General features: G+C 37.5%; 1 protein-coding gene across 18 annotated transcripts in view; it reads right to left on the bottom strand.

Moving 5' to 3' along the window:
• The window catches only part of PARD3B (par-3 family cell polarity regulator beta), a 1,074,688-nt gene that overhangs the window by 493,177 nt on the left and 568,873 nt on the right, over positions 1-12,638 (bottom strand). For all 18 annotated transcript variants that reach the window (XM_047443208.1, NM_001302769.2, NM_205863.4 and 15 more), the window contains 4 exons: positions 7,940-8,065; positions 5,037-5,395; positions 2,520-2,659; positions 1,249-1,377 (listed from right to left, as the gene is read on the bottom strand). In XM_047443208.1, coding sequence (XP_047299164.1) covers positions 1,249-1,377; positions 2,520-2,659; positions 5,037-5,395; positions 7,940-8,065 — 754 coding nt within the window. The remainder of the gene's footprint in view (positions 1-1,248; positions 1,378-2,519; positions 2,660-5,036; positions 5,396-7,939; positions 8,066-12,638) is intronic.

The following is a 12,638-nucleotide window of genomic DNA, read 5'->3' as shown; positions in this document are numbered from 1 at the left end:
CACAATTTCAATAAAATAAATAATATTTATTTATGGTAAGAAAAGAAAATGAAAACCTCTCATAACCAATATCCCAGATGTATCTGCTTCTAGTTGTTAACGTTTTAAAATGTAATTTAATGATACTGCACAAATAATTTTACATCCTACTTTTAAATATAGTATTAGATTATGAACATTTTCTCATGCTATTATCAATTTTTTTTTTTTTTTTTTTTTTTTTTTTTTTTTTTGAGACGGAGTCTCGCTCTGTCGCCCAGGTGGGACTGCGGACTGCAGTGGCGCAATCTCGGCTCACTGCAAGCTCCGCTTCCCGGGTTCACGCCATTCTCCTGCCTCAGCCTCCCGAGTAGCTGGGACTACAGGTGCCCGCCACCGCGCCCGGCTAATTTTTTTTTTTGTATTTTTAGTAGAGACGGGGTTTCACCTTGTTAGCCAGGATGGTCTCGATCTCCTGACCTCATGATCCACCCGCCTCGGCCTCCCAAAGTGCTGGGTATTATCAATTTTTTACAGAAACCATTTTAAGTACTTCTATATTTCACTGGCAAGCTATCTAGTTATTTATCTAACCAATGCCTTACAGTTATACAGGACCCAATATATCACTGCAATAGATAGAACTTGAGGGGAAAAAATCAATGTACATGAATTTTTTCCACATCTTTGATCATCAGTTTAGGACAGATTACTTGAAGTCTAGTTACTAGGTCTAAGGGTATACATTTTTAATAAGGCTTTTGAACTCATCTTTCTCAAGATGTCTATCCCAGCCCTCAAGAATAGGTTAAATACCCTTGTTCTATGTTATCATGGCACTCTGCATTTTCCCTTCATAATCTTCATCGCCATTTTGAATACTTGGCTATCTTTTTATTTCCTGTTAGACTGTAAACTTCATTAAAGTAGGTCCACAAATTATTTTGCTGACTGTGTTTTGCCTAGGGCTTCGCACGTAGCACATATTCAATATATATTTTATTGAATTAGTTGCATACTGTTGAATAGTTGCTTATTGCTAAAGGTGTTTGAATCTGTGCCCCGGAATCACTGTTTACATATACCCACTGGCTGTATCAATGTTTTAAAAATGCGATACCCCAAATGGGGTAAAATACCCTGAGTGTGATTCAATTTTGGTTATGAATGAAGCCTGTGATTTAGAACTCGTTTCTCAGCTATAATGAGTTCATTGAGTGTATTAAGCTCGGCATTAAAAATTCAGTGAGACTGAGATCTGAACATTACCAACTCTCGGGGCAGAAAATGTCCTTCTTGGCGGGCAATGACCAGCGATGCTGTCTCCCCCTGCTTGGTGCTCCTGAGCATGGCCACAAGCTCTTCCTGGGTTCGTCCGGTGACATCTCTCCCATTTACCTAATGAATAAAAGCATATGAACAGCCACAATCACAATACTTGTTATCTCCTTCTACACTAGATAGTTTTTGAAAACAAGAAGCAAATGGGCTCCCATACTTGAGGAAGCTCTGAAAAGATGATAACTAAATACATGGGCAAAACCCAACAATATTTCCCATAATGCATCATCATGATGCTGGATGAACTCAGAGTCGGTAATTAATATCAGCAGTTTTTCCTAAGACATCACATTCTTATGTGGGGGAAACTGGACTGACAGATACCAGAAAATGATTCCGCTTAAGGTAGAAAGCAGATTGCAAAGGCTTACTTAGCGCCATTTTCTGCCTAATTCAACAAGCAGAGTGAACCATGATCACAAGGCAAATTTCTCTGCAAATACGAACCTAGCAATAGAATCCTGCAGGTTTTAAACATATTTAGAAAATTATAGTCACCAGATTATCATAGATTAAGGGAAATTCTAATTTGGAGCTACAGTAGTCATTTGGTGCATCTTCTTTCATGATCTAGAACAACATGAAAAGCTAAAGTGTTGCTTTTAATGAAGATGTTTGCTTCAAAGGTAAATGGACAATATATAATTATCAAGACGATAATGTCCTCAGACAAAAATAAATGAAAACAAACAGCCACCCTCTTGCTTTTGGTATCCCAAATATATCTCTCTGCAAAATCCCTTCCAGCTGTTTTCATTGCTATCCTAGCACAGATGATAGGGATATGGACAAAGCATAGAATGACCTGAGATACTCTGGCTTGTCCTGGCCAAGTTTGAAAAGACTATTACAAAGACTTTTTAACTTTTTAGCCCTAACTGAATATATGTTGAATTCTTAGATTCAATCCAAATTTCACAGGGACTCTAAGAGGTAGAAATAAGAGAGGGAAGATCAGAAATGGTTTTCACTATCATTTGGCCCCATATCACTGACCTTATTGGGGATTTACAAAGTTAGACTCCTCATTAACCAGTTCTATAGTTAAAGTTCTTATCTTGTCTATAAGTAATAATTTTTAATATATATTAGGTTCAAAATAAAAATATTAATATATTTACATATATTTCAATGCAATTAAATGGCATTATTTAAATGCCAAGAAATATTTTCATACAACTATTAATTCCAATTCTTACCTCCAAAATTCTGTCCCCTGATTGTAGGCGGCCATCTTTTATTGCTGCTCCCTTTGGTAAAATGTTTTTTACAAAAATGGGACCGGGACCATGTATGGAAGAGTCTCTGGTAACCACAGTGAAACCAAGTCCTTCAGGGCCTAGTGTATAAGAACAGGAAAATGTATAGTCATCTTAAGCATGAGTAATATTATATTCAGTCTTACAGTAAGATCTACCTAATTTAGACTAATATAGAATCAGTAAAATATTTACATTCTGGGACATTTTAAATATGCTTCAGTTATTTGTGTTTCAAATGCAGATTATAGTTCCTGACAGGCCATGACAGTATCAAAGTGAATTTAGGGCCCAATCCAGATGTGTAACACTTTGGCTTATTCAGGTTCTAGAAGAAATGCACATGTTATCCAGATGCCCAGGAGATTGACTTCTCAATAAACCATAACCTGACTTCATACTTCCTGAGAAGCAAAAGGCCATTTGACTTAAGTTCTGTCAGCCTCTTACATGAGCTGGACAACCTATGGCTGAGCCCTCTACTTGTGTCTCAATTCCTTGTACTGCTGCATCCCATTGTCTGGTCAGCAAGCATCTTGTTGTTCCTGTCCTGTTCTCCTGCATCTCCAATTTCTCCCTTCTCATGTATTTTTCACTCAGTCTAAAGGTATGCTCAGATTTCTCTACCCTGAAGGATCCTTACTTCCATCTTACTGCTTCTTCAAGCTTCCATCACCAGTGACCTACCCGCGACCATCTCTGTTGGTCTAGCTTTGATGATTCCCACCACTTATTTTTTTTTTTTTTTTTGAAATTGACTCTCTTTGGTTTTCATGTCTTTATTTTCTGATTATTTTCCTATCTTTGATCACATCACATCCATCACTCTCTCTAAATCTTACTCATTGTCCTCCCATGTAGCCACAGATGTTCCTCAAGGATCTGTCTTAGACCAGTTTGTCCCCTAGACTCCCTGCCTTGGCCAGCTCCTGGATCCAAGTATATCTTCCAATGAAAGAGACCTAAATCTCTATGGCTCCAATGTCTCTTTTTGATATCAGCTTCCTAGATGTCATCATGCACATTTCAAACTTCACTATGTACCTCCCTCTCCAGTCCAGATCCTGACCTTTTCAAATATCCTCATCTACTTAAAATTCTAATTTCTAGCAATGACATCTCCATTATGCAACTTGCTCTGGCTGAAAAACCTCAGGAATCACTGTAATTCTTCTCTTTTTTCCTTCCTACAACCAGTCATTTATTAATGCATGCCTATTATGTTTCCACCTTTAGACAGATGCAGTGCACCCTTTACTTATCCTTTGTTGTTTGGCCTTGTCTTCAGTGTATCTTTTTGCTGTCAGATTAATCTTGCCAAAGTACAGATGTGATGTCGTATCTTTCATTTTTGCATTCAAGGCTTTGTAATAAATTTTTAAGGTGATTCTGTGTCTGATTCATTTTTCTATATTCAAAACACCCAAATCTGTGTCTTACACACAGCTGGATCATTTGTACAAAAAATACAACTGAGGCATTTAAATAAAAAACCTGATTGATAAGCACACTGAAGTATTTTTGTACCTACTAGTCAATGTATTTTATTCCCAGAATAGAATTCTTATAGGTGAATGAAATTTTGATCAGAGAATCTTTCCAGAATAATTTTCATATCCTAAATGATGATACATTATTTGTTTTTGAAAGACCTTAATAGTTTTTCTAAAACTACCTTTTGACCATAAATTCTCTATTAATTCAGACAAGAATCTATAAGATCTTGGTTTCTTTTGAGTTGTCTTGAAAAACACAGAATTTCAGAAGGTTGCAATGGGGGAAGGTAATATAAAGCAGAGGTTACAAAATGAACAAAAGCACAGAAGCACATGAATGCTTATGTATGTGTGTAGAATACTGCATAAATATGCATGTACACACATGATCTCTTCTCACTGATCTGTGCTTGAAATGGATAGAAAAGTTGAAAAAGATGAAGAAAGAAAATATTATACATGCTTTTGAAATTAGGTATGTTTTAAATGTTTGTGACGTTGAATCAGAGAAATTAGTAAACATTACATATTTGCTTTCTGAGGAGTAAATTTTTGTTGTTAGAAGACTGTCTTAGAAAAACAATATGCTTTTTGGACATGGCCTAAAGGATGCTTCAAGAATCACTAATCGTGCTCAGAACAGGGACAACTGAATTTTCATGCCTATTTGGTATTAAGTTGTAATACAATATTGCTCTGTTGATATCAGGTTTGCAATGATTCTTTCCACTTCCCAACATGTCTTTATTATTTTCTTGTTTAAAATAATCTATACACTCCGAAGAAAAGAATAAAAAAGTACAATTTCAAGAAATTTAAGTTACCTAAGTATACACTTAAATCTATTCTTTGATACAATTAAATGAAGGGAGAATTAACTAAATTAGCCTTAATGCATTTCTCTTAACCAATTTTACATGTTACAATAATAGAATGCTATTAGGCATAATTTAATAATTACCTTTCTTTAGGTCAATCTTAATTTTCTTTGCATTTTTATTGCTGCCAAATCCCATGAGAGGCGAGAGTGAGGGAGAGGATGGTTTTCCTCCCAGCCTTGGTACTCGGGGACTCTTGTTTTGTTGCAGGGAAGCTGATGCATCTGTTTCAGGACTATCGGTTCCTGTGAGATTTGCTGTCTTTAGTCCCGATTTTCCATGGACAGGAGGCGGCACTTTGGTTTTCAAAACGCCATCATTATTACCAAAAATGTTAAGAGAGCCAATGACTGACTTTTCATACTGTTCACGGTTTTGTGGAGGAAGCACGTGGAGGAGCACACTTGGAGATTTCATTGCCTGGCGGAAGACATCTTGAGCCCTGGAAAGAAAGTTGATAAATGTATGATGACCCTGCTTTGAGGTGCAGCATCTTCTAAAGTACCCCAGGAGGATGGCAACCAAGAGCAGCACAGTGGCTAATCATAGGAGACACGATCAATATTCCTATCAGAATGACTTTGCCAACTACATACTAGTTACCACTTACTATTTGCACTAGGTGCCCCTGCACTAGCTTATACATGCATTATTAGCATGCATCCTTCTCTAATTTAGAAAGCACATTCGGTAAGTATAAATAGCTTTCATTTCACGGACATGGAAGTTGAGGCTCAGAGAGATGAAATAATTTATCCAATGACCCACAGCTTTTACATGTTTCTAAAGATGAAAATCTAACCAGAAGTGATTACCAAAGTGAATATAAAAAGCAAAATAGATATTTTGGATCAGATCATTAGTTAGGTTTCTTTTAGGACATCCTTCTAAAGTACAGATCTTCTCTAACATGGGTTGTGTTACACAAGTTCAAGTTTGACATCCATGTTTGCTCATGGAGACATTTTGGCAGGTGCTTTGGCTGTGCCAAAATGTCTCAGTGGAATTTCAATCCAACATGCACCCTTCCTGTTACTCTCACACAGAGCAACTGTGTTTTTCACTTTTATGACCTAACACTTTGTGTTCTTCCTCAAACTTCTTATAACATTTTCTTCTTCCTCATGCCTCTAGATGCCCTGTGCCCAGGTCAAACAACTACCTTTCCCACTCTTTCTTGCCCAGAAGATATAAATGAAGGCGTTAAAGGAAAGCTCTTTAGAAGCGGCTGGTTCAGTAGAGAGACAAAAACTTTTATTGTTCTCCTGTTTCTCTTCCCTATTTCTTGAAACTCAGAAGTGACTGAGGAAACTCAGCAGCCATCTTGTGCCCATTTTTCCACTGAAGGATAGTAGCCACATGGCGAGATGGCAAAGCAGAAAACGGAAGCTGCCTGACCCACTGGCGGCTGTGCAGCTGCCGCACTAACTGTGGAGTGCCCTCTTCCACGTTTGCTTGTTGCTAGGAAAAATTAATGTTAATCTTGTTTCAGCTATTCTTATTTCAGGTCTCTGTTCCTAGCAGCCACAGCACATAATAACTAATCATAATCCCAACTGCAATCTGATTCCTTAAACCCTACCCCGCACCCCCCTTTCTGAAGTGCTTAATTCTGCAAATTGTTAGGGGAGAAGGAAGATTTCACATAGGCCTAACTCCACCTAACTCCTGTGGTCAGTTCCCCTATGTTATTTTTGCTTGCATAGGAATCAGTTTCTACTCCATACTAACTCTATACTAAATTTTTATGAGCCTCAGTTTCCACCTCTATAAAACAGAAGTAATAATGATTGCTTTGCATAATTATCAAGTCCTTGTGAAAAAGCACAGTAGTATATTAAAAATTATTACTAACTATAGTTTTGTCTATCATTCATTATTTTAACACAATAGATTCTTCTAAGGTTTCATTTCTTTTCATACTTAGCAGCCAGTACCCACTTTTCCTCGACCCACAACCACTCATCTTTGTCCACAAACACGCATACAATATTGACAACTAATGCCCAGCGAGAAGATGTATTAGGAGCTGTTTTGGTCAGAAACAAGAGGGTGGTGATGACTCCCAAGGATTATTAGTACTTAGTCCTTTGGTCCAGAATCCCACTGCAATGCCAACACACATTAAAAAAATATGCATCAGATTACTATACACTCTAATTCCTGGGTACAGGAAGCTATTCCCTTAACATTTTCACATGCAGAAAGATGATTTCTTGAGGGAGACAGTATTATTTATTTATTTATTTTGAAGACGGAGTTTCTCCCTGTCACCCAGGGTGGAGTGCAAAGGCGCGATCTCGGCTCACCGCAACCTCTGTCCCCCAGGTTCAAGCGATTCTCCTGCCTCAGCCTCCCAAGTAGCTGGGATTACAGGCGCGTACCACCACGCCTGGCTAATTTTTCTCGTACCTTTAGTAGAGATGGGGTTTCACCATATTGGCCAGTTGGTCTTGAACTCCTGACCTCATGATCTGCCCTCCTCGGCCCCCCAAAATGCTGGGATTACAGGCATGAACCACTCCGCCTGGCCAGGAGACGGTATTTTATTTTTTCTGTTTGTTTCTATGATTCGGTGAGTCCTCAGACATCTCTCACAGATTTTTTAGTTTAAGGAAGACTGCTGACACCAAGAAAGTTAATTAATAAGCTGAACCAACAGTCTGTGAAAAGAGCCGTTAAATACCAGTTTAAGTGACCCATAGCCCAAGAAAAACAAACCCGTTCAACGACGCCCCAGTAAAGACAGCCAGGCAGGAAGGCTTGTGATATTCTGTAGTTTAGCATTCTCAGACCTGCCAGAGACATGTGTGGGCCACCTTTGAGTAGGCTAAAACATTAGAAGCATTCGAAAATGGATATCCTGGATCGTTCAAAGGGAACTGACTAGAAATTCTACCTACTATTTTGATCATAATGAGTTCAGTAATGCTTATAACCATGCTAGGGATCAAGAAAGTAAATAAAACAATGAAAAAATGCTTACTGAGCAAAGGTTTTGTCTACGAGATCCACATTGTTGATTTTTACAATACATTCATTTTCGTGAAATAGTCCCTCCCGCTTGGACCTGCTGTTGTCTTCAATGCCTCGGATGAAGAGTCCTAGAATCCTAAATGCAAAATTTAGATTGAAATATAATTACTGAATAATAAATGCTAATTATTTCTCCACTTGCAACTATTCAGAAATACATATTGATTTCTATTTACAAAAGAAATTTTACTTTATATTCAGGCAACTGTTTGTTATTTTAATCCCTAATCCAAAAAAAGCCAAAACTGACTACAAGAGAAAAAGCCCTTCTAGATAAATATGCATAAGTACCAACATCAATCTGCGACTTCATTTCTCATGCTTGCAGTAAACTTATTGAAAGGCTAGTTTACTGGAGTTGACACCAAAGACTTGTGGTTTGGAGAAGGGCATCACACCTGACTATAGTAAGTCTGAGTTAGTGCCAACGTGGCAACGTGATGTTTAGCAGTGGGAGAGCATTAGGATATTCACAGTAACATTTTTGCAGTCTTACTACCTATTCTAAAAATTTGCATTTTAAGAAGTAAAGAAACATTTAAGCTCAGATCATATTACTCAGTTTAGAAGGAAGCTGGATCCCATTTGTTGGTGCTACCAAATCAAGTATGTGTTGGGTGTTTCCTGTGTGATCAGGATGGAGGAGTATGAGACAAAGTCATAGGACCAGGACCAGGTAATTTCACTATACATTTGGGGGACAGCTGAAGTCCAAAAACTAAAGACATTAACAAGCCTAGAGCCTTCAAAGATTTGAGAGCTAACTAGATGGGAGACCAGTGCCACACACAAAGGCTTTGAACAAACAGCCAATGAACTTAATCTGATGGACCTGGAGGGGGGCATCTAGCAGACCCCGCTTCCGAGTAGGGCAGCGACATGATGAAGGCAGGCTTTGGGAAGAGTTGTCCAAAATTTCAACCAAGAAGAGGCTAAATTAGAGAGGATACAAAGAGGCCTCTGGATTTTTGTGGCTGTAGCTTAGAATCAGGAGGGTTGGAAGAGAAGGAAAGAAGAAAGAAAACTATAGCCACTAGAATTAAAATATGTGTGTGTGTATGTGTGTGTGTGTGTGTGTGTACACACATACATACACAATTCTGTTACATATATAAACCAAAACTAAACCAAAAACCGTAAGAAATGGAACTTATACATATTTTCATTATTTCTTATTTGTGGGATTTCCCTTCTCCTCGTGATGTGACAAGGCTTAGCTGTGTCCAGAGTAAGAAAGATAGATATGTCCTGCAAGAGGAGTCTGCTACATTTGGAGAAACTGTGATCTGCACTTTATCAATACTCTTGCTTTTCGACTTTGTCACTCTCTTTTGTATAAAATCCATGTGTGCTATTACAAAATACCTTCACATTAAATTTCAAACCTAAATAAAACATGAGTACATTTTATGTGTAAATAACAGGGTCAGCCATAGAAAAGGGGAATCTACAATGCAAGTATTAGAGAAAGTAGTCCTCCTGTTTGGAGTGGCCACGGAGTTGAACCTCTGTCCCCTTAATGAGCTCCCATCATCTCAAGACCTCAACAGGCATGGCAGTGATATTTGGGTCTCACTTCAAAATGTTAAATGAATACAGCACGCTGCTGCAGGAGAAAGAACAGCAAACAGCCATGCCATCTACTGCAGGGAAGGCTCAGGGTCATAGGCACAAGTGTGCAGTGGGGTCTTGTGGTTCATTTCCTAGTTCCAGTAGGTTAGCAAATTAGTCATATTCTGTGTTACTTTAATCTTGAAACACAGTATTAAAAATGAAACTATTTGACACATTAAAATAATAGATAAAACTTATGGGTTTTTTCCCTAAATTAAACAGCATCCTAAGAGTTCACATTTTGGATTTTTGTTAGGGTGGATTCACAATAACTTGATTCATTAGGAGGCTCACATGTGGTTATAAACGTGTTTATGTAAGTGATATTTTTTTAACAAGCATTCAAGTCTTCCTTTAATTTAATTCAGTACATCATCAGTCATGTAATGTTACTCCCTAGGATTTAATTTCACATTTTGGGAGATGAATTAATTCTTTCGGGCCACTGGGTTGCAATTTAGCTGGCATATTACAGCTGGAGTATGCTATGTGAACCTCACTGATCTAAATAATCTAACTTTCCATGAAAAATTTATTGACAGAATAAGCCCAACTGTAAAACCCATGTGTCAGAGGTAATTTTGGTAAAATGTAAAACTGACTGATTTTATTAGTTTGGTCCCTGGCAACAAACCACTTCTGCCCTCTCTGCTCCGTGGAAGGGATAGATTCCCTCCAGTTTGATTTCATCCAGACCAATACAAGAAGGCTCAGAAAACAATACCTCATTATCCTCTTTGCCCTGAACTGGTGGGCTGTGGTAGCTGTCTCATTTGGGACCAAGACTCGCAGAATTTAAAGATTAATGCTGTCGAGGAGTTATAGGCCGAGACTAACCAGTTAATTTGCATTAATGAACAGTGATAAAGGATGCTGAAATCCACAGCCTCACAGAATTAGAGGGGTAACAATTCTTCTTGCTCTTCTAATTATCATTTAGGCACCAACATCTTCTCCTTGCCCCCTTCCTGTTCTTTTCCCAATGTCACACAGCCTCAGTGACTCTACCAGCTTAGAATTTTGGTTTGAACATCTCTTCTCACAGTCTTTATCAGCCTTCATCCAGTCCTTCTCCTTCTCTCTCCTGTTTAGCTGTCTTCCCTATGAAACTGAGGCATATTATGCATCTGTACTGAAACGAATTAGATTTCATGTTTTTAATTCACAAAAACCACATTGATTTTAAAAATCTGAATAAAATTAAGTTGCATTTTAGTTGCAAGAACTTTGGTGTTTTTTTTATGTTTGCTTTGTTTTTACTGGGAAAGCCAATGGCCCTCAATACAAGCAGCATTCAGCACCCCTCTGCGATGGTATCTAATGAATTCATTGAGGCTTTATCTAGCAGAGCAGCCACTATAATTTACTTATTAGGATGATCTAACTTAGATTAGGTTTCTTATTCAACAACAGGTGTGGCAACATTTTTCTAAAAGAAAAAAAAATAAAAAAATACATTGGAGGCAAAGCCAATTACAGTAATCTTAGTAAAAAAATTAAATGTAAATTCTAATTTAAAATAATGGCACAAACCAATAAATGGAAGGAAATTAAGAGCAAAGTATACCACTATGACCTTAACGAAGCCCCTGTGCTCACACAGTGAAACCATATGGCATTATGAAGTCAGACACTTGTCTGACATGCTCTATACACAGTTGCATCTAGACACATGGGTTGAGTTAAGCGTGCTGTTTCAGCCTGTACTCATTACTCCTTAACTTTTATTGGCTCATGTCTCCACTTCCATAGCATTTTTAATGTTTTTTAATTAAATTTCCTTCCTATAATACTGGTGGATAGCAAAAAATAAATAATAGAACTATTTCACCAAGTTACTGAACAGTTAACCATGAACTTATAATAAAACTACATTTCTGAATCAGGCTTTTTGGTTTTAGCCAAAATAATCATCAGACTGATGATTTACACGTTCATACATTAGGTGTTTTACAAGGAACTTTCACATTTTTAATGTTATTTAATCCCCATAACCTTGATGTAAAGTAGGTACTCAAAAGGGGCAAGTTTAGGGGACTTGCTCAAGGTTATAAAAAAGAACACTGGGATTCAAATCCAGTTGTTCTGAAACCACGTCCAATACTCTTCCTTCTATTCTACAAGGCTTGTGCTAGGAATCAGAACCAGGAAAAGGAAGGGAGGAAATCAATAAAGCTTAGTGTATTTCCCTCGTTTGAAGTGAGAGAATGTGATTTCTGATCTATAGGATCAGCTTGTTTTCTGAACTACTGAAAATGAAGTCTAGTGACTGTCACACTGTATATTTTCTCATTTTTGGAAATTGGGAAGATCTTGTGCTCTATCCCACCTTCATTAAACTAAAGAGCCTGGTCATTTAATAGCTCTGGTAGTTCACAAAATTCTGTCAGTATACTTCTGCCAAAAGTCATTAGAATTTCTCATGACAACTGAGTAAATATTCACCCTATCTATCAAAAACAACCTCAGTTTGTCCTATGCCATAACCCATAACATTTATAAACACACTTATTAACACACACAGGAAATGAGACAATAAGAGTTGCTAGCTTTTTGGTTCATTTCTTTTGGGGAACATTCATTCCAGTGAGAGCTTGGCATCAGATGTTATTTGCAAAAAAAAAAAAAAGGTGATGACTTCGCAATTACAGGTAGCAGATGGCTACCTGCTGAATATGATGCCAACCAAAATACCATGACTAAATCTGTTCTTTTCGCTATAGGGCAGACTGAATTGAATAAATATTCAGAACCACTAAATTAATACTATATAACCTTTGAGAAAATTTTAGTTCTTGAAAGAACAATGAAGTGAGAAGTTAGGAGAGCTGGATTTTGTATGACCTTGGGAAAATCAATTGACTTGTCTCGTCTTTGATATCCTAAACTAAACTAAGGAATCCCCCCTTTTCAATGATGTGTTTAAGAAAATAAATTCAGTAAGTTAACTAAAATCATGTCATGTTAGTGAAAAACTGATTTTCTTTTAAGTTTCTGACAACCCTTGTCAATATCAATCTAGTGCTAAATGTGGT

The sequence above is a fragment of the Homo sapiens genome, chromosome 2 (genome assembly GCF_000001405.40).
Source record: "Homo sapiens chromosome 2, GRCh38.p14 Primary Assembly".
NCBI classification, from domain to species: Eukaryota; Metazoa; Chordata; class Mammalia; order Primates; family Hominidae; genus Homo; species Homo sapiens.
The sequence above is the reverse complement of the archived record's forward strand: the minus strand, read 5'-3'. Positions and strand labels throughout refer to the sequence as shown.